Source organism: Homo sapiens, chromosome 2 (genome assembly GCF_000001405.40).
Source record: "Homo sapiens chromosome 2, GRCh38.p14 Primary Assembly".
NCBI classification, from domain to species: domain Eukaryota; kingdom Metazoa; phylum Chordata; class Mammalia; order Primates; family Hominidae; genus Homo; species Homo sapiens.
Window position 1 is genome coordinate 9288659 of NC_000002.12, and position 21158 is coordinate 9309816.

The window sequence follows — 21158 nt, forward strand, 5'->3', positions numbered from 1 at the left end:
AGTAAAATTTCTAATAGCTTGTACTCCCCATACAACAAATGTTGAATTCACCTCTTGGCTTTGAACCCCAGACACCTTGGGGTAGCCTGTCTCCAGGCTAAAGGAGAGCCCTGCAAGTTTTTTAGTGAAACCCCCTTCCCACCACCTCCAACCCCCTTCTCCTTCCCTGATTTGGTCTCAGAGCACCCCTAGGAGGGAAGCAGCTCTCTGGTTAAGGAGAGTCTAGGGTGAGTCAAGCAGCTGGTAGCTCAGTTTTAATCTCATGCCATACTACATTTTCAATGAGGAAATTCCTCTAAATGTCATCTGCTCCAAGAAGCCTTTTCTGTTACCAGCCCCCAGAAAATGTACTCCTTTCCCCATAGAGTGCTGTGTTTCCACCTCGTGTAATTTACATCACAGTGGATTGTTTTCGCATGTTTATCTTTGTCTTGCTAAGTTGTGTGTTGGCAGGTACCAAGGTTTATTATCTTTCTTGAATGCAGATCTCTTAGAAGCCTTTTGGCTGCTCTCCGTTACCTGGGATGAAGTTCCTCATCTCTGGCTCCTGCCTGACTCTCCAGCCCTTCCCCATGCTCTGGACACACCAAGCGCCTTGAATTCCCCAGAGCTCATTTTGTTTCTTGCCTTTGTGTCGCTGCACTGAACTGATGGGCTGAGTCTTTCTCACTTATTGGATGCTTGCTTCTTGAGGGTAGGGGCTCTGTTTGATGAATCTTTGTGTTCATTAGTGCTTGCTGGAGAATAGACTTTCAGTGTGATTGGATTTTATTCTTTAGTAACCAGAAATATTCTTGACCCGTAATGGAAGCACACAATGAATGAATAAAAGTAAATGCGGATACATTCTGTACTCTAAAGCCTAAAGGGACAGAAACCATCAACATAAAAAAAAATATGCAGTAGCCCAGTCTCCACTCTTCACCCTCTCACCTGCCTTCCAAGTGTACTCCTACAAGCAGTAGGAGCTTCACAGGGAGGTCATTGGGGTGACGTTTAGTTATTCACACAGACTTTGAACTCATTTGAACATCACTGGAAGGATGGGATCATTAATATAAGGCAGGATCAAAGAGGATGGGATGATCATAGACAACAGGTTTTGTATTTTAATAGCGCACACCTTGGCCTGATTAGTGAACTCCATTGCTAGCTGCCTGTGCTGAACACAACCAGACTAGATACATCCTGGGGTACCATCCACAAAGACTGGCTGTTTCTTGAGGAATCACATTCCAAGGGACTTCCTAGGAAAGATGATGGAAATGGGTATTGAAAGTGGAACAAGCCCGGGGTGTTGGAGAAGGCGGAGGAAGTGGCAGGAAGAAGCCGGTGAGAGGCATCCTTCCAGTTGCTCATCCTGCACGGGAGCTCTCAGGGGTTATGAATAGGGAGGACATTCTTGTTCAACCCCTTCTGGTTGTGGCTACTTCTGTCTTGTCAAAGATGATACAGGTATACTCAGTTCCGAAGGCTGTGTCCCTCCCGTCACCTTGTCCAGGGAAAGCTTTGGGAGAGAAAGACATATTCTAATGTTATTTATTTATTTATTTATTTATTTTCTTTTGAGATGGAGTCTCGCTGTGTCACCCAGGCTGGAGTGCACAGTGGCACGATCTCGGCTCACTGCAACCTCTGCCTCCTGGGTTGAAGTGATTCTCATGCCTCAGCCTCCTGAGGAGCTGGGATTACAGACACCTGCCACCACTCCTGGCTAATTTTTGTATTTTTATTAAAGATTGGGTTTCGCCCTGTTGGCCAGGCTGGTCTTGAACTCCTGACCTCAAGAGATCTGCCCATCTCGGCCTCCCAAAGTGCTGGGATTACAGGCGTGAGCCACTGCACCTGGCCTAATGTTCTTAATAGGCACAGGCACAGAGCACTGTAACAATCTAGCCATTAGAGCTGGTGCTTCAGATTTCTTTTTAAAGTTTTATTTATTCCTTACGTTGTTATTATAAAGCTAAGATAAGCTTAGTTTAGAAAATTTGGAAAGTTCAGAAAAGCACTAAAGCAAGCAAGTCTTGAGCCTGGCAGGATCTCAGTATCTTTATAACCAGCAGAGGCTCAGGTGAGCGCTGGGTCTGAGGCCCACTGCGACTTGGAACACAGCTCTGCCTCTTAGAAGTTGCAGGATCCTGGGCTTGTTCACACTCTGACAGTCTGTTTCCTTGTCCACTCAGAGGAGAATAAAATAACATCTAGAAAGCACTTGGCCTGGGACCTAGTATATAACAGCCTTGCATATGACAGTTTATTGACTGCTAGCAAGTGCTCAGTTTTCCCCACCACTGTTAGCATTTTGATGTATTATCTTTTCAACCTCCTCTCTACATTTCACTTTTTGCAAAATTGAGACTAAATATCTAATTTTATGTCCTCCCTTTTTTAAACTTGGCTTTCTGCTCCTACCATATTCCTATATCATGATTTTAAAAGCCAACATAATATTCCATTTTGTAGAAATACTGTTAATTTAACCATTTTCATATTGTTGGAACTTAACACATTTTAAATTTTCACTCTTTATAAATGTTCTGTACACACATCTCTGATCACCTTGATTATTTCCTTAGGATAGATTTCTGGAAGTGGGATTATCCAGAAGAATGATACACATTAGTAAATTGGAAATGAAAATATGTTTTCAGCCGTTTAGTTGGGATGATTCTAGAAATAAAGTTCTGAAAATGGTTCTCTCTCACGAGATGTCCACTAAGTAGAGACCCTGTTAAGAAACAGGGATGATGTTTGATTTGAAGAAATTGCATTCCCATGAGATCATGCGCCACAAGTGAGGTCGGAAACAGGTGGCATGTACAGCCGACAGCCGGAGGAAATGGTCTCCACTGTGCAGAGTTGTGCACAACATCACAACATTCGTGTCGTGACACACATTTGAGTAGTAATCGTCATGTCATCCGTCTAGGGAGAGTCTCCACCAGGCTGCTGCCATAGAGAACATATGTCTCTCCTTAAACGCTCCCTTCGCCGAGCTGTCTGCATGGAAGGTTGGAATGTGGGGTGTCAGCAAGTGCTTTTCCCTCTGCCTGATTCCCAAGTGGCCTGTGGTCTGGCCTGGAGCAGGGGTTTGGAGGGTCTTTGTTGGGTCAGCAAGGAGGCTGGGGCTGGGTAGCCATAAGGCTGGTGCACCCTGCCTTCGTTCTGTTATGCTGGTGACAGCACTTGGTGTTCAGGTTAATGGTACATGCACTTGACTGGAAGGTTGTACATTGTCGCTGTCTTCAGCTCTTAGCTCTTATCTAGGCTAAGAGCTGAAGATAGCGACAATGTCATTAGCAAATGAAGAAACGGTTTTTGCTGTGGGAGGAAGAGCACTGGACTCAGAGTCAGGAAACCCGAGTTCTTGTTCCAGCTCTGCTGCAAACTCACTGTGTGACCTTGAGCAAGTCATCACCCTCTCTGAGCTTTGGTTTCCATGTTTAGACTAGGTCATCTTTCAGGATCCATGGAATGAAAGGACTCAGCAGTGAGTATAGCAGCCCTGAGGAGGTGGGGACAATGAGACCTGTGCTGCCCTGTGGCGATTTTGAGAGTTGAGAGCTGGATGCAGACAGGGGCTTTAAAACAGAGAAAGTAGGCTGGGCGTGGTGGCTTTGGGAGGCTGAGGAGGGTGGATCATGAGATCAGGAGTTCAAGACCAGCCTGGCCAATATGGTGAAACCCCATCTCTACTAAAAATACAAAAATTAGCCAGAAGTGGTGGTGTGCGCCTGTAGTCTCAGCTACTCGGGAGGCTGAGGCAGGAGAATCACTTGAACCCAGGAGTTGGAGGTTGCAGTGAGCCGAGATTGCACCACTGCACTCTAGTCTGGGTGACAGAGTGAGATTCTATCTCAAAACAAAAACAAAAACAAAAGAAAAACAGAGAAAGTATTAACAGTGGGAACACATAGGACTCCCTGGTATTCCCCTGGGGCTAATGCCTGTCTGTTTCTGTGATCTGCTCCTTCTCTACTCGACAAGTCTTACCTGTCCTTGGAGCCCCAGTTCAATGTCTCCTTGCCATCTGAGTCCTCAGCGCCTAGCACATTGCCTGATGCATTGTAAGTGATCAGTGCATAGACTGACATATCTTTCCCCAGGCATTCATCCCAGCCATGAGCATATGTGTCCTTGTATCTCACCCCAGCATACCGTCACATCCCTGTTGCCGGGCTGGAAATAGTAAGTTTTATGTTTGAGATGAAAAAGGAGGTGATTGAAGGTGAGTTGGCTGGGGGACGCCCATCCTCTGGCAGTGCTGTGTTGGTGGCTTGCTTCCTCACTGTGCTGTGGGCCACACTGACCTGTCAAGAGCCGTATCTACATGTGTGGCCCGTAGAGGGGGCGCAAAGGAGCCATTCTTGTCCTTTTTGTATCCAGCAATTTTTGCTGAAACAATTTGCACTGGGCCTTCTCCTTGATACCAGTTTTTTTAAATAACAGAATCCAGTAAACTAAAAAGCACACAACAAAACCTAGTCATTGCCTCTAAACTCTGTATGTACACATGCATGCTGGCTTCATGATCGATTTCTCTGCCAGAGTCTCTCAGTTCATCCTTTTGCAGGGATTGATGGGTTTCGTGCAGTGAGGTGGGGGAGATAAAGGGGTGATGGCTTAGAATTGAGAAGAAACGAAGTCTTGTCCTAGCATGGTCTCTGTGACTCAGATTCTTATTTTCCAAAGTCCCTCCCAGGTCAGTGATTATTGGATCTGGATCATTAATGAGAATTAGAGTTTAAGATACATTTGAACAAGGGGGAGGTGAGAGTGTGAGCTCTTTTTAGAAGAACAGCTTTCACAATTCTGTAAATAAAAGCTGATAGACCCAGTTTGAGATCTTTCCAGAAACTTTATTCCCAAGCTATTTATTTTAGGTTCCTGTTTTAAGGTTGTTTTTGGCAAAAGAAAAACAAAGGCACTGAATGATTTTCTGTTCTCTAGTAGGAAAATCTTCACCTTGGGGTGATCTGCAGCAGTGGGTCAGTCAGTGCCATGTTAATCATGGAGGGATGGCTGTTGTCGTGGTGGGCACCGTGCTAGGTGTTAGAGGAAGACACGGGGCTTATGGGCTTCAGCAGGAAGCTTCAAGTTCATTTGCAGGATGAAAAATACATCTAAAAATCCCCAACTAGGCCAGTGCACAAAGATTCCCACTGACCTCAACTGGTACAGTGTGAGCATCAGAAGACAGTGCTGATTGCAGTGGATGAAAGCACTGTAAACGTAAATCCATGAGATGATGATGGTGATGATGAGCCAAAGAACTAATTGATCACCTTGGGGTTGCTGGGGATCAATACATCGTTTAGAAGATGTATAAGGACAAGAATTTTTTTTTTTTTTTTTTTGAGAATAGAGTCTTGCTCTTTTGCCCAGGCTAGAGTGCAGTGGTGCGATCTCTGCCCACTGCAACCTCCGCTTTCTAGGTTCAAGTGATTCTCCTGCCTCAGCCTCCCGAGTAGCTGGAATTACAGGCATGTGCCACCATGCCTGGCTAATTTTTGTATTTTTAGTAGAGACAGCGTTTCATCATGTTGGCCAGGCTGGTCTCAAACTCCAGACCTCAGGTGATGCACCTGTCTCGGCCTCCCAAAGTGCTGGGATTACAGGTGTGAGCCACCGTGTCCGGCCACTAATTTTTTTAAAAAGAAAAAAACTTAACCTACACCAGGTAGTCAGTTGAGGAGCCCAGAAGGAGGGATGATAAGGAGTGCTTTTGTATTTCTTGGTGCTGGAACATAAAGTCTACTATCAGTGAGAAGGCCGGCTCCTCTCTCCTACCAAGGGCTGGAGGACCAAGGGCTGGAGGCAGCCTGCGTGGTCCATAAAGTGCACCGATCCTCCTACCAACTCTATGGTCTGGGGCAGGTGACATGACTCTCTGAACTGCACTTGATTCAGAAGAAAATAGGGATAATAATAGCCAACTCTTAGTGCTCAGGTTAAACTGAACAAAAGACTTACAAGCCACCTAGTAGGCGTTGACCTTTATACGAAGTCCCTTCCCTTTGGGTGTTCACTTAGAGCAACACTGAGGTCCAGTCCTCCTCTTGGTTTGAGGGACACCACGAGGCTGCATAGAGTCTTCAGCTTCTCTCCTGCTGGGCTTTGCATTCATTGCCCAGCACCGTGAAGGAGGACACCACGGCCCAGCTCCCCTCCTTTGTCATCTCTTGAAAGACCCATGGCTCAGAAAGCAGCGAGCGAGGGAGTAAGCAGGACCATGGAGGTTGCGTTCCTGTTTCTGTCATGCAGTAGACAGTGTGTAGTGACAGATGCCTGCCTGTGGCCACCAGCCCCCTTCCTGAACCCAATGAAACTAAACTGCCCATGTCTTGACCGCTAATTTTGAGATAGTTTAAAAATAGTATGTGGTTTGAAAGGACCTATCCTTCACTGTTAACCACACTCTAGAATTATAAATAGAGTAAAACAGAAGGAATTATTGATCCATCTGTGAAACTGGATTTTAAAAATCTAAAAATTAGATACTTTTGTTTGACAAGGTAAACTTTTTAACGATGAAAACAAACATCGTGTAGTAGAGTAGGAGAGTGGACTTTGGAATCAGAAAATTTGGGTTTGAATCCCAGCTCTGCCACTTTCTGTGTTTCCTTGGATGAATTATTTGATCTCTTTGAGCCCTAATTGCCTAATAGTGTTATGAGAAATAATACATGTCTTACGAAGTTTAGAAAAAATATATGTGAAGTTTGTGCTTTGAATAAGTGACGCCTGTTGCTGCTGTTACTTTTGTTAGTGTTATTGGTTATGCGCCAAGTGTGGTAAACTGAGTCTCTTTACCTGATTCTTTCATTCTTCCTCTGACCTTGAGAGCATCTCCCAGCAGGTTTTTATCCTTTATGTAGCTGACGCCGCAGGCCCAGCGTCACTGTGACTTACCAAGGTCATACAGATATTTACAGGTGGACATAGGACTGGAACCTAGATCTTCTGAGGGCTCCTGAGGAGCTGCGTTTGCGGGTGTGTGTGTGTGCACATGTATGTTTCTGTCAGAATTTGTTTGCTGAATCTGGTCTCAGAAATTCATTTAATTTATCTAGAACTCTCAGGCTCTTTACTGGAATGTTAAAAAAGAAAAAGGACTCAAACAGTGAAGTGAGTTTTCTTTTGTGTCTGCTAGATCCCCATTAGAACCCTCTAGTCCCCCAAATGCCACTGGAGGTCAAAGACATGGTGCTTCCCCCATAGGATGGGTGAGCAGACCATTCATAGGTCATAGGGATTGGCTCAGGGTCCAGGACTGCCCTCCAGGAACAAATGTTCCCTCGTTTTCCCACATTGTCAGGCCCAGCCTAGCCATTGGCGTTAGCTGACAGTGGTCTCATTTCCCCGAGAAGGAATTCGGGAGCTACAGAGGGGCTTTCAGGATCTGTCCCTTGGTGGAGGAGCTGCAGCACTAAGGCTGTCTCTGGTGGAGTTCACATCCAGGTTCACACCGCAGGTCTGGCTGCCCTGTTGTGCCTGTAAATAGTTGTGTTATATTTCCAGTTGAACTGATGAAAACATAGAAATTAGGTAGCCATGCAGATAGAAGTTGTTTTATTATAGACTGGCTGGTTTCCTTTGAAAGTGCCTGACCTAGAAGTGAGGGAATTATATTCAACCACATTAATTTACCAGAATCACCTGTGTCCCCTCCCCCATTCCTACCCACGGTTTAAATCAGAGGTCTGAGATGGGACGGTGGTGTCTAGAGTTTGGTGAAAATCCATGCATGCATTTGGCGTCCAGCAGGGATTGAGAACCACTGTGCCAGAGACCCAGAGTCCAGATTTTCACTCTTTCAGGTGCTACTTTGAGGCCTAATGATAGTAAAATGCCATGAGATGTAAGCACCTGGTATGTTTTTTCTGCTCAAACAACATGTGTGTTGTCTAATATTTCAGGCACACGACTTCGTCGAAGATGAATACAACTTAGTCTGTCAACTCTAAGCACATCCGATGTATGGGGAACACATTTGCCAGACTATTTCAATATAACATGCTGAGTGCAAGGATAGGAGAGGTGCCAATGAAATACCCAGGGTGTAGGGCAGAGTCATGGAAGGCTTCCTGGAGGAAGCATGAGTCTGTAGGATGCAGAGGAGTTTGGGAGGGAAGGGCCCCTGGGTAGAGGCTGCATCCTGAGCAGAGGCACTGGAGCTGCAAAGACCACTGCTGTTGCTGTATTAAAAGGAGAAGGAGCTGCTGTGTGGGGCTCTGAATCAGAGTCCTGGGCTGCAGGCTAGAGAGGAATGGGGCATCTGTGGTTGAGTTTCTGGGAGGGGGCTGAGTCTGGTGAGTTGTGCCATCATTTGGTGAAGGAAGAGTCCTCGGAGAGGTGGAAATGTTGTGTGTCCTTGGCCATCTCATCTGATATGCTGAGGACCACTGGACGTGGGCAAGGGCTTCCCCTCTTGCATACCACACTTGTTCTTTGGGATCTGTTGCCGGCACCACGGGTTGTTGTTGGGATAACGAAGCTATTTCTGTTCCTGGTGCAGCTTGACTTTTCTCAGATTTTTCTTCTGCTGATGTGTTCAGTGTTATTCACAACCGAGAAGAACCTGGTGGGGAGTGAGGGTGGCATGCCTGAGACTCACAGCACCTCCGTCATTCTGTTGCAGCTCACGTGGAAAATGAAGAGCAGTACACCCAGGCTCTGGAGAAGTTTGGCGGCAACTGTGTATGCAGAGATGACCCAGATTTAGGAAGTGCGTTCCTGAAGTTCTCAGTGTTTACAAAGGAGTTGACAGCACTTTTCAAAAACCTGGTAAGCAGCTCTGTGTATGAAATGCTGCGGTTACTTCAGTTGGGAAAGTGGCTCAGTAGAGGATAGTTATGGTTTGTTTGATAAACTAGGAATGCATTTCATAGTTCCTTGGGTACCCAAAAGAATTATGTTTTTATACACATTGGGTCAGTTTGGAATAAAGTTTAAAATTGTAATTTTTACTTTAACAAGACTTAAAATTCAGCTCTGCAATTTAAATGTACACAGCTATGGGACAAAATGGGTAAATGCATTCGTCTTCTTAAGGGCCTCTGACTTGAATTTTTAACAGTTTCTAAACTGTGTAGACTACTCTCCTTCTGGTAATTATAGTAGGCATTTAAGCTTATAATATTTAATAAATATGTTTCAGGCCCATCTTACACAGCAAGGTAACCTGTAATCAAAGCACAGAAATTACCATGAATATTTAAAGGCCTTTTGTGCTCCCAAGTGTAGAACCTAAAAAAAAGCAGGACTGAGAGCAATGCCTCGGTTTTCAGCCGTGGGAATGCGGTGCTGGTGCCTGCTGCCTGTGGCTGCTGCTTGGTGCTGTGGGTGAATTGCGCCTTTCTTGTGCCTGGCAGCTCTGTGCTATCCTCGTGATGGGGACAACATTTTGAAGAAGTGGGCAGCCCAAGAGGGCTGTTTGGGACCCTGCCCGGGTGGAATGGACCCTGGGATCGCTCCAGCTTTTCTTTCCTGTTTTTCTTCTCCAGTTTCTCCTAAAGGTCAGGGAAGGCCAGGTCAAGAACTCAGTAATGCTTTCTCTGTAGGCCACACACAACAGCATCTTTTTCGTGTCCTCTGTTAGGAAGCTCATAACAAGTGAAAAACATAGCTCATTCCTGAGATGGTGATGACAGTGGTTTTGGGAGACCGGCCTTAGAAGGGGAGAAATGAGGGAGCATCACATGTGAGTTCCTAATGGGAAGGGGAAGAGCAGGAGCACTCGGGCCCTTGCTCTTTCTCCCCGTCTTCACTTATGAACATTTCTGTAGGAAATGGTAAAAGTAAAAAACTGTTTCTCTGCTCGAGCTTTTCACTTAGAGGAATTTGAAATCCCCTGGGGCTTTGGTCAAGCTCATCCCCCTTCATCCTTATCCTAGAGTGGCGGCCCACCTGCTCAGCAGTGGAGCCCTCGCCCTGCCTCAGCCCCATGCCCTGGACACTGGCAGGCATGCATGGTGGGGTCTCATCACCAGGTCGGGAAAGAGTGGAGATTTTTTTTAAACTGGAGAAACTGCATGGGCCCAGGGTAAAGATCCGTAGATGCTGCCATGGAGGGCGTCTCCTGGTAGAAAAGTCAGTTGGCTGCCTGCTCTCCCCGCACCTGGGTGGATAAGCCCTTTCCATGCACACAGAGCTGCCTGTTAGCTTCCTGGTGCCTCACACTTCAGTACAGATGAGCAGCCTCCAGCATGAGGGAGACCAGAAATAGCAGAAAAATGAACGTACGGGAAGACTGGGATGCAGCATGCTATGAAAGAAGGCCAGGGACACAACTATGGTAAGAAAATATAACATTAAAAATCCAACAGGAAGGGCTGGAGTAGAGGAAATCTCTCAGAAAATAGATCAAAAAGACCAAAAAGTGGGAAATAGATAAAAGACGAGGATTAATTCTCAAGGCCCAGCATCCAACTGGCAGGTGTTTTAGAAAGAGAGAAGGTTGTCATCAATGCAACAAATCTAAAGGCAATTTCTAAAAATGGAACGGAAGAGTCTCCAAGTTGAGAGGCTCACAAGTACCCAGCGCAATAAGGGAAAAGACCTACCCTGAGGCATCCCTGTGTGAACTTGCAAAAGATCTTAAAAGCTTCCAGACAGCAGCCGGAGGATTCAGAATCAGAATGGTGGTGAACTTCTCAGCAGCAGCACTGGAAACGTTATGGCATGGAGCAATGCCATTAAAATCGTGAGGAAACTAACTCAGCCTGGAATGATGCCCAGCCAATCAAAGACGAGAGTAGAATTAAAGATATTTTCAGACATGCAAGGCTTAAAAACTTTGGCTCCCATGTGTCATTTCTCTGAAACTCCTAAAGGATGTGTTTTAGTAAAATGAAGGGAAAAGCCAAGAAAGAAGAAATTGAGAGTCAGGAAACAGGACCCAACACAGGAAAGCAAGCAGTGGAAGGGAATTCCAAGAGGATCATGGCGAAGGGAAGTCCCAGCGGGGCTGCCAAGCAGGGGGCCTAGAAAGCAGCCAGCCCAGGACGGCTGACGACGTAGGAGACGGGTGGAGGCCCGGGTTCTGCTTCTCACTCCCAGACTGCCCTTTTACCTTTATTCAGCTGATATCTAGACCTGGATTGTCTCAGCTGTAACATGGAGATAATAATACCATACCTGATTGTGTGGATAGATTATAGCCAGCCGGTGACTCTTACACAGGATAGCTTACTTAATTCTTATGACAATCCCATAAGGTCAGTCAATGTCATCCCCACTTTACAGATTAGATAACTGAGGCCCTGAATGGTTTGAAGAGCTAATATCTGGCCCGGCACAGTGGCTCACATGTGTCATCCCAGCACTTTGGGAGGCCAAGGTGGGCGGGTTGCTTTGAACCCAGGAGTTCAAGACCAGCCTGGGCAACATGGGGAACCCCTGTTTCTACAAAAAAATACAAAACTTAGCCAGGCGTGGTGGCTCACGGCTGTAGTCCCTGCTACTCGGGAGGCTGAGGCTGAAGAATTGCTTAAGCCCAGGAAGCGGAGATTGCAGTGAGCTGACATCACGCCCCTGTACTCCACCTGGGCGACAGAGAGTGAGACCCTGTCTCAAAAACAAAAGAAGCAGCAGCTAATATCTCTCTTGGGAGGCTCAGAGTCCTTGCCTAGGCAGGCCCACTTGGAGCACTCCACACCATGGAATCCGGACGAAACTAACTTGTCTCAGTTAACAAAAGGGCAGCTGCATAGTTAAATAAAAGGAATCCCTCCTTCTCCTTTATAAAATTTCCTGCAAAAGCAGAAAGCAGAGCAGGGCCTGCATGTTACAGCTGGTACATTGCTCACCACCCTGTGGCTTTGCCAGTTTTTAATACTTCACATATCACTGCAGGTCCTAGTTGCTGTCCAGCTTTCTACAGAGAGTAAAGGTATCAATAAAGGTATCTGTGGCAGTGATTTGATGAGCACCCACCGGTGTAGCAATCACTGGGCTATGCATGAAGGATACTCTGTTTCATTTATTCCTCTTGGCAGCTGTGCAGGATAGTTTGTATCACCATCCTCTTAAGGCACACAGTCACTTACAGGGCCCTTAGCTAGTGAGGGACAGAGTTGGGATTCAAACCCAGGTATTAACACTCCAAACCCAAGTTGTTGTCATTGTGACATTTAAAGGAACCATGGCCTCTTGTCACCTTCTTGACTGATCATAAGGGTTCAAGTTTCAACTTGCACTTTATGGAAGTCGGATTGTTGATCCTATTTCCTGGCAAAGATCAAAGAGAGAGAAAATTTCTTACATGAGCCAAAATTAGCACTCACCATGCCTGGTTTTCCAGGCCAGCGCCGGTGTGGAAGCTGCACAGCCAGAGGAAGGCCCAGTGGCGGCTCCTGCAAAGCTGGGCAAATGGGGAGCGGATTATGGCGGAAGTCTCCTTTTTTGGAATTTTGTGCACCATTCTTCTTCCTGTTTTTGGTCACATCTGGCTTATCTCATATCTTCCAAGCCTTGCTTTTGCTTTCCCTCGGGCATTTAAAACATTTCAGTTCTGTCTGGCTAAGACTCACAGTGCTACCTCTTGTCCAGAAAGAATAACAATTACCACCTACCTGCTTGGAGGCGTGAAAGAATGTTTATAAAGCAGTTGGAAGATCTCCAGAGAAATGCCAGCTTAATATAAAGCAAGATTTTCTTACTAATGGGTGAGATTCTCACCTGCAGAAGTCTGTGAATTTTCTCTGCGGTGATGCAGGATGAAAGGGAAAACCAGACGGCTCCAGAAATGTGACATGTGTGAAATTAAAGTGCTTATGAAGTCAGCCTAGTTTCAGGGGTTCTTTTCCTCTTCCCCAATGGATGTGAGAATCCTGGAAAGACTCCAAGGGCCACCTCTGTGCTGAGAAGTGGCTTTCTAATGAAAGGCTGCATTTCAGGGCAGGTTTCTGAAAGGTTTGTTACAGATATGTAGTCTCTGTCTCCAGTGTTAGAGGATTGTTAGTGAAAGATGTCCTCACGGTCTGCAGAACCCGCTCCACATGAAGATCAGCATCCATTGAAAGCAGGAGCCAATGGGTGCTGAGGAGAGGACAGAGTTGCAGCATGAGATCTGAGGTGACCCTGGGCTAAGGAGTTTTCCCTCACCCATGTTGATAGAGGAAATGGAAAGCTCTACCAAGCAACGTGTGTATCCATCATCTTTTTTTTTTTTTTTTTTTTTGAGACGGAGTCTCGTTCTGTTGTCCAGGCTGGAGTGCAGTGGCACAATCTCAGCTCTCTGCAAGCTCTGCCTCCCAGGTTCATGCCATTCTCCTGCCTCAGCCTCACATGTAGCTGGGACTACAGGTGCCCACCGCCATGCCCGGCTAGTTTTTGGTATTTTTAGTAGAGATGGGGTTTCACCACGTTAGCCAGGATGGTCTCGATCTCCTGACCTCGTGATCCACCCGCCTTGGCCTCCCAAAGTGCAGGGATTACAGGCGTGAGCCACCGCGCCCGGCCTTTTTTTTTTTTTTTTTCCCAAACACAGATGATGTGAGTTAGAAGCCTTTTTTTTTTTTTTTTTTTTTGAGACGGAGTCTCGCTCTGTCGCCCAGGCTGGAGCGCAGTGGTGCAGTCTTGGCTCACTGCAGCCTCTGCCTCTCGCGTTCAAGCGATCCTTCTGCCTCAGCCTCCCGAGTAGCTGGGACTACAGGCACGTGCCACCATGCCCAGCTAATTTTTATATTTTTAGCAGAGACGGAGTTTGACTGTATTGGCCAGGCTGGTCTTGAATTCCTGACCTCGTGATCTGCCCACCTCGGCCTCCCAAAGTGCTAGGATTGCAGGCATGAGCCACCATGCCTGGCCAACTTTTTTTGTTTGTTTGTTTGAAACAGAGTCTCACTGTGTCGCCCAAGCTAGAGTGCAGTGGCACGATCTTGGCTCACTGCAGCCTCCGCCTCCCGGGTTCCAGCTATTCTTGTGCCTCAGCCTCCCAAGTAGCTGGGATTATAGGCGCGAGCCACCACACCCAGCTAAGTTTTGTATTTTTAGTACAGACGGGGTTTCTCCATGTTGGCCAGGCTGGTCTCGAACTCCTGACCTCAAGTGATCCACCCGCCTGGGTCTCCCAAAGTACTGGGATTACAGGTGTGAGCCACCACCTGTAATACCAAAGTACTGGGATTACAGGTGTGAGCCACCACGCCTGGTCAGAAGACATTATAGCTAACCTTACTAGGGAGGTAGTAAGGTTCTGTTGGGACAAGCAGTAGTTTGTGGCTTTCTCATATGTGCTGCACCTGGCAGAGGGGCATCCTGGCTTGGCTGCATTGGTACTAGTACAGCAGGACTCTGCCCAGTGCTGTCAGGCTTAGGTTAAGTGTGAGCTGATTGTCCATATTAGTAAGGCTTGTCTCGTCACTCAATATAGACATCTTGCTACCAGAGGTCCTCACCCTCAGTACTTCCATAGACTTTCTCCTAACTTCTTGTATTGCAAATGTCTTAGATTCTTAAATGTCTTACTTTGTTTTTTAATTAAACAAGAGCAATGATCATAGTATCATCTTTTTGGGAGGAAGATTTAAGTCACTGTTTTAGACATAAACTAATGAACTATGCTGAAATCTAGAGACATCCCCAGTGGCTTGGGGTACGTGGGAATATCCGCCCTTGGATTAGTCCTGGACTATTATTAGGTGTCCGTTTCTGACATTTGCTTTTTAATATTCTGACACTTTTTCTATTGGTTGCCCTTTTTCCTGCTGTCAGTGCTTGGGTGCCTCTAAGGTCTCTGTTTCACGATGCTGCGAGCTGAAGAGCAAGGTGACTTGGCTTGTTAGACTTGGGTGCAAATTAGGAGTCCATAGGCTTCGCTTGAGGAGGGCTTGAGGGCTAGGGCTTTGAGTGAGGAGGGGAGAGAGAGTACCTTGATGGACTTGCTGACAGTCGCTTTGGGCCCCTAGAAACCTCTGCCATTTAGATTTTGGCATGGCCTCATTTATAGTTGGAAATTCCTTATCTAAGACCCAAAAGACTTCAACGCTAAGCTATGTTCTATACTCACAAATCTCTAACCAAAAACAAAAGCACATTGTTTGATCGAGACAATGAACAAATAAGGCTGGTGTCAGATATCTACATTTTGGTTGTGGCATAGCCACATAATAGATTTCCATTGGACTTGGATACTGTTTCTTTTTGGGGTTGGGAGGGAATGCTGTGATACGGTAACCCCCATACAGAGAAAGTGGGAGAAGCCATATTGGGCAAAGATAGCATGGTGAGGCCTTGGGCGTGGGAGGGAGAACTCACAGAGACGAGGACTGGGCACCTGCTGGGTGCTATCCATGCGCTGGTGCTGTATGGGGCGGTGACCTCTGGCAACTCCTGCCTGGGCAGGGGACACAGATGCTTTTATTAGAAGACATGTGCCGGGACAGCCACTGGCAGCCTGCGGAGCCCTGAGGGTACAGCATTGGAAGCAGGGAGCAGTGACTCCCCGCCCTGAGCCCTGGGTCCCTGCTTCCCTGGATCCCTGAGGGTGGAGGGGCACTGCAGTATGGCACTTGTCCATCTGCACACAAGCCTGCTTGCAAGGTTTAGAAATCAGTTTCTTCACAATTGTCAAATGTGTGTAGGACATGCTGTTTCTGTTTGAAAGTATTAATGAACCTAAAACAGGGTTTGTTTTTGTTTTTGTCATTGTGTGTTTTCTTAATTGCTGGCTATTAAAGGGACAACTGCCACGATGTAGGTGACCTCAAACTTAGAAAAAAATTGTTTGCCAAATCTACAAGGTACTGTGTGGAATGGCTCTAGTGGGGATGTAGATAGGGGGTGGAAGGGCTGTAGGGGGTGTAGATATGCGGTGGAGGGGCTGTAGGGGGGGTGTAGATACAGGTGGGAGGGCTGTAGGGGGATGTACATAGGTGGGAGGGCTGCAGTTGTGGGGGTGTAGATACAGGGTGGAGAGGCTGTAGTCTTGGGAGTATAGATATTGGTGGAGAGGCTGGAGTAGTGGAGTATAGATATTGGTGGAGGGGTTGTAGTATTGAGGTATAGATATTGGTGGAGGGGGTGTAATAGTGGGGTATAGATATTGGTGGAGGGGCTGGACTAGTGGGGTATAGGTATTGGTGGAGGGGGTTGTAATAGTGGGGTATAGATATTGGTGGAGGGGCTGGAGTAGTGAGGTATAGATATTGGTGGAGGGGCTGGACGAGTGGGGTGTAGATATTGGTGGAGGAGGTTGTAATAGTGGGGTATAGATATTGGTGGACAGGCTGGAGTAGTGGGGTGTAGATGTTAGTGGAGAGGCTGGAGTAGTGAGGTATAGATATTGGCGGAGGGGGTTGTAATAGTGGGGTATAGATATTGGTGGACAAGCTGGAGTAGTGGGGTAAAGATATTGGTGGAGGGGCTAGTGTAGTGAGGTATAGATATTGGTGGAGGGGCCGTAATAGTGGGGTATAGATACTGGTGAGGGGCTGTAATAGTGGGGTACAGATATTGGTGGAGGGGGTTGTAATAGTGGGGTATAGATATTGGTGGAGGGGCTGGAGTAGTGAGGTATAGATATTGGAGGGTCTGGAGTAGTGAGGTATAGATATTGGTTGACAGGCTGCAGTAGTGGGGTATACATATTGGTGGAGGGGCTGTAATAGTGGGGTATAGATGTTGGTGTAGAGGCTGTAGTAGTGGGGTATAGATGTTGGTGGAGGGGCTGTAGTAGTGGGGTATAGATATTGGAGGGGCTGGAGCAGTGAGGTATAGATATTGGTGGAGGGGCTGTAATAGTGGGGTATAGATATTGGTGGAGAGGCTGTAGTAGTGGGGTATAGATATTGGTGTAGAGGCTGTAGTAGTGGGGTATAGATATTGGTGGAGAGGCTGTAGTAGTGGGGTATAGATATTGGTGGAGGGGCTGTAATAGTGGGGTACAGATATTGGTGGAGGGGCTGTAGTAGTGAGGTATAGATATTGGAGGGTCTGGAGTAGTGAGGTATAGATATTGGTGGACAGGCTGGAGTAGTGGGGTATACATATTGGTGGAGGGGCTGTAATAGTGGGGTATAGATATTGGTGGAGAGGCTGTAGTAGTGGGGTATAGATATTGGTGGAGAGGCTGTAGTAGTGGGGTATAGATATTGGTGGAGGGGCTGTAGTAGTGAGGTATAGATATTGGAGGGGCTGGAGTAGTGACGTATAGATATTGGTGGAGGGGCTGTAATAGTGGGGTATAGATATTGGTGTAGAGGCTGTAGTAGTGGGGTATAGATATTGGTTGACAGGCTGGAGTAGTGGGGTATAGATATTGGTGGAGGGGCTGTAATAGTGGGGTACAGATATTGGTGGAGGGGCTGTAGTAGTGGGGTATAGATATTGGTGTAGAGGCTGTAGTAGTGGGGTGGTAGATATGGGATGGAGGGGCTGTGGGAGAGTATCGATATGAGGTAGAGAGGCTGTAGGGGGTGGGGTTATGGGGGTAGGGGCTGTGAGGGGTGTATATATTGGTGGAGGGGCTGGCGTAGTGGGGGTGTAGACATGGGGTGGAGGGGCTCTAGGGGTGTAGAGAGGGAGTGGAAGCGCTGCAGGAGGGTGTATATACCACGTGGAGAGTTGTAGTACTGGGGGTGGAGATATGGCCTGGTGGGGCTGTAGGGGATAGAGATACCGGGTGGGAGGGCTGTAGTAGTGGGGGTTGTGAGTGAAGGAGGTCGGGGAGCCACATCCGCAGCAGGGATGCAGAAGAGCAGCCGTGTCGGCTTGGGTGCCTGCGAGGGGCCTCAGGGACGTTTCCCAGACTTTCTTAAAGGCAGAAGAGCGGCTGCTGCAGGTGGAGGCATAGGGACCACAGGTGTTCACTGTTCTAAGAAGGGTTGATAACGGAAGAGGAAAGCAGGTGGGAAGGGTTCCTAGGGTGAGAGGGGCTTGAGCCTGTTTCTGGGCCCCAGGGAAGGAGCTGGAAGCTCAAGGTTGATGAGAAGGAAAATGGGGGGCTGTGAGCTGTGGAGATCCTGTGCCCCTTTGTCCTCGGGTTGATGAGCCCAGCCAGGAGTCAAGCCTCTGCTCCTGGCTCGCTGAGGGAATTGTCAGCGAATTGATAGAAATTCAGCATGTGCTTGTTTGCATTCCTCCTTCTTTGGGAACTTTCAGCCGTTTGGTAATCATTGCTTAAAATCTGAAGCCTGGCACCCCATATCAGTGCCCATATACTCCAGGTTCCAGCTTAGAAGGCATGTGGGCAGGGTTTGTACCATTGGTGCCCCAGGGGCCCTGGCCGGACATCCACAGAGCATCACTGGAATCGCCTGGGGCTTCTTAGAATTCCAGCCTCTCGGAGGCCTGCAAAGCCAGAATCTTAGTGTGTAGGAGCCCCAGGCAATAGCAGGCAGTCAAGCTTGAGCAGCACTGCCCTGGAGCAGAGGTCCTCCAAGTGCAGCCCCTGGGCCAGCTGCACCAGCAGCACCGGAATTGTTAGAAATGCGCAGCCCCAGCCTCCACACCTCACCTGCAGGGTTGTGGCTCTCCAGCTGGAGTGCATCAGCATCGCCTGCGTGGCTTGTTAGACCACACCTGTTGGACTTCCCCTAGAGTTTCTGATTCCGCAGGTCTGGGATAGGGCCCAGGGTTTTGCATTTCCTGTTCCTAGTCACGCTGGCCTTGCTGGTCAGGAGCCACACTGAGAACCACTGCCCCAAGGACAGCCTGGGTCCAGTGCTTCCGACTCTCACCCTTGGCGAGATGGAGACTTCAGGTGCCCCAGGTCCTGTGGAGGTCAGAGCTACTTCCTAAACCTGGATTCTTGGAGGTAATACATTTGAAAAAGTACTTTCATTTCTGGTTGATGGCTTCAGCAAATGTTTTACCATCACCCGGTTTTAGAAGTAGTTTTGGGTGCCTGAGTCCTGGGTTCTCCAGTGCTGCCCTCCGGCTCCCAGAACCGGCCTTCAGCTGGTGTCAGTGTGGTTGTTGGTGGCTGACTGACATGTCCAAGCTTATCCTTTATTCTAGTGGAGAAGGGGGCAGAGGGCCCAGTTTTCTCTCCACTTAGAGCCTGAAAGATCAGAGCTGTTGACTGCCAGAGAAGCAGCATTAAGAGCAGAAACCAGGTCAGCGATTTTCCTCCTTGTTCTGGTGTGAAAGTTGCCAATGTGTTTTTGGCAGCTGGCTGGTTTTGATCTTTCAGTTTGTGTTAAACACTTAGGATCAGCATGGGCTCCCCCTTCTCCTTTTTAATTAAACAGCGACTGTGCTGCCAGGGACGGGCTGGGCGCATCTGTTCAGGAGGGCCCTGTGTGAGAGTGCATAGACGGGAGTGTGTGCATACGTGTGCTTGTCTGTGTGCATGCATATGTGTACGTGTGCATGCATGTGTGTATGATAGACCTCAAGGCAATTCTGTGGCCCAGGGGATCTGTTCACTGACACCAAAAACAAAAGTGGCCTAGATGATTGTATTAGTCTGTTCTTGCACTGCTATAAAGACATATCTGAGACTGGGTAACATATATATAACACATATATAACACACACATATATAACATATGTTTAATTGGCTTACGGTTCCACAGGCTGTAGAGGAAGCATGGCAGCATCTGCTCTGCTCGGCTTCTGGGGAGGCCTCAGGAAACTTACAATCATGGCAGAAGGTGAAGGGGGAGCCAGCACTTCGCATGGCCGTGGGCAGGGGCAAGAATGAGGCGGGAGGTGCCACACACTTTTAAACTCACTTGCTACACAGTACCAAGGGGCATGATGCCAAACCAGTCGTGAGAACTTCACCCCCGTGATTGAGTCATCTCCCACCAGGCCCCAGCTCCAACACTGGGGACTGCAATTGGACATGAGGTTTGAGCGGGGACACAGACCCAAACCACATCAGTGATTTTCCTGTTTAGAGTTTCCTTGTATGTACCTGACGGGCTGCTCTGTGTAAAAGGGAACAGGAGGGCTTTTCGATGGAGACAGCATCTAGGATGGCAGCATGTGCCCAGCCTCAGCTTAGCTTAGCCTGGCCTGGCAGGTGTAAACCATCTTGCCCTGTGCCAGCAGGAGTTTCAGTCCAGCCGTCTTTAATAGTGAGCTGAGAGGAAGAGCTCTGGCTTCACTGTTCTAGCCAACTCCGCTGCTAATAGTTGTGTGATTTGGAGGCAACGTGGATGACTCAAGCCTCTGTTGCCATACCTGCAAAATGGGGGTCACGGCACATACTTCTCAGAGTAATTGCAAGGGTTGAATGGGATTAAAGGGCCCTGTGTCATCTGGTGGTTTATTCAGGCCATTTTAGTCAGTACCTTGTGCTTCTCAAAAATACTTTCTGCCTGGATACCCGTTCTTTCAGATAAGCGGCCTTTAGAAAGAACAGAGAGCTGTCCTTTGAACCTGCCAGTCATACTCCTGCCCCAGGACCTTTGTGTTAGAGTCCCGTTGGCCCAGAGCGCACTTCCCCCAGGTCCTCATGTGGCTCTCTGCCCCGCCTCCTTTGCGCTCTGCTCCAAGACCACCTTATAAAAAGGCCTTTCTGACACTATTTGAAAGAGTCTCCATCCCACAAATGATCATGGCATCTTTATTTGTGGTATCCGTAGTATCCCCCAAACTGGAAACAACTCAAATGTCCATCAGCAGGTGTCTGGCTAGACGGCAGTGTAGCCATATGATGGAACAGTGCTGGCCAAGAAAAAGAAGTGAACTACTGGTACACGCAACTACATGAATGAATCGCACAGTCATGCGCAGTCCCAAAATCATGATGCAAGAAGCCAGATGAAAAGGCGTACATGCGGGATGATTCCAGATACCGTATATAAAATTCCGGAAAGTGCAGTGTTCTCTGGCAAAGAAGCAGATCAGGGGTTGCCAGAGACTTGGGGGTAAGGAGCTGGGGTTGCAAAAGGGGCACAAGAAAACATCCTCTTGGGGTGAGAGGGTACTTTCCCAGTCTGGATTTTGGTGATAGCTTCATAGGAATATCCATGTGTCATAGCATATCAAGTCATACTTTAAATGTGTGTGGTTTATTGTCTGTCCGTGACACTTCAATAAAGCTGCTTAAAACTTTTCAAAAGCCATTTGTCCAAAGTGTTGGTGCCCAATAGAACTGTTTGCGTTGATGGGAATAGTGTGTATCTGCTTTACTGAGTCTAGCAAGTCTCTAGCCACATGTGACTATTGCATTTGAAATGTGGCTAGGGCAACTGAGGAAC

At 47.6% G+C, this 21158-nt stretch overlaps 1 protein-coding gene across 22 annotated transcripts in view, besides 1 other annotated feature; it reads left to right on the forward strand.

Moving 5' to 3' along the window:
- Positions 1-21158, forward strand: part of ASAP2 (ArfGAP with SH3 domain, ankyrin repeat and PH domain 2) — a 198867-nt gene that overhangs the window by 81847 nt on the left and 95862 nt on the right. For all 22 annotated transcript variants that reach the window (XM_011510403.4, XM_011510407.3, XM_011510404.3 and 19 more), the window contains one exon: positions 8642-8787. In XM_011510403.4, the coding sequence (XP_011508705.1) occupies positions 8642-8787 (146 nt within the window). The remainder of the gene's footprint in view (positions 1-8641; positions 8788-21158) is intronic.
- Positions 10994-11493: an enhancer, noted in NCBI's record as "H3K4me1 hESC enhancer chr2:9439781-9440280 (GRCh37/hg19 assembly coordinates)". NCBI's record gives its function as "activates a minimal SCP1, AML or CMV promoter by ChIP-STARR-seq in naive H9 embryonic stem cells {active_cell/tissue: H9 hESC(naive)}" and the evidence as "EXISTENCE:reporter gene assay evidence [ECO:0000049][PMID:30033119]".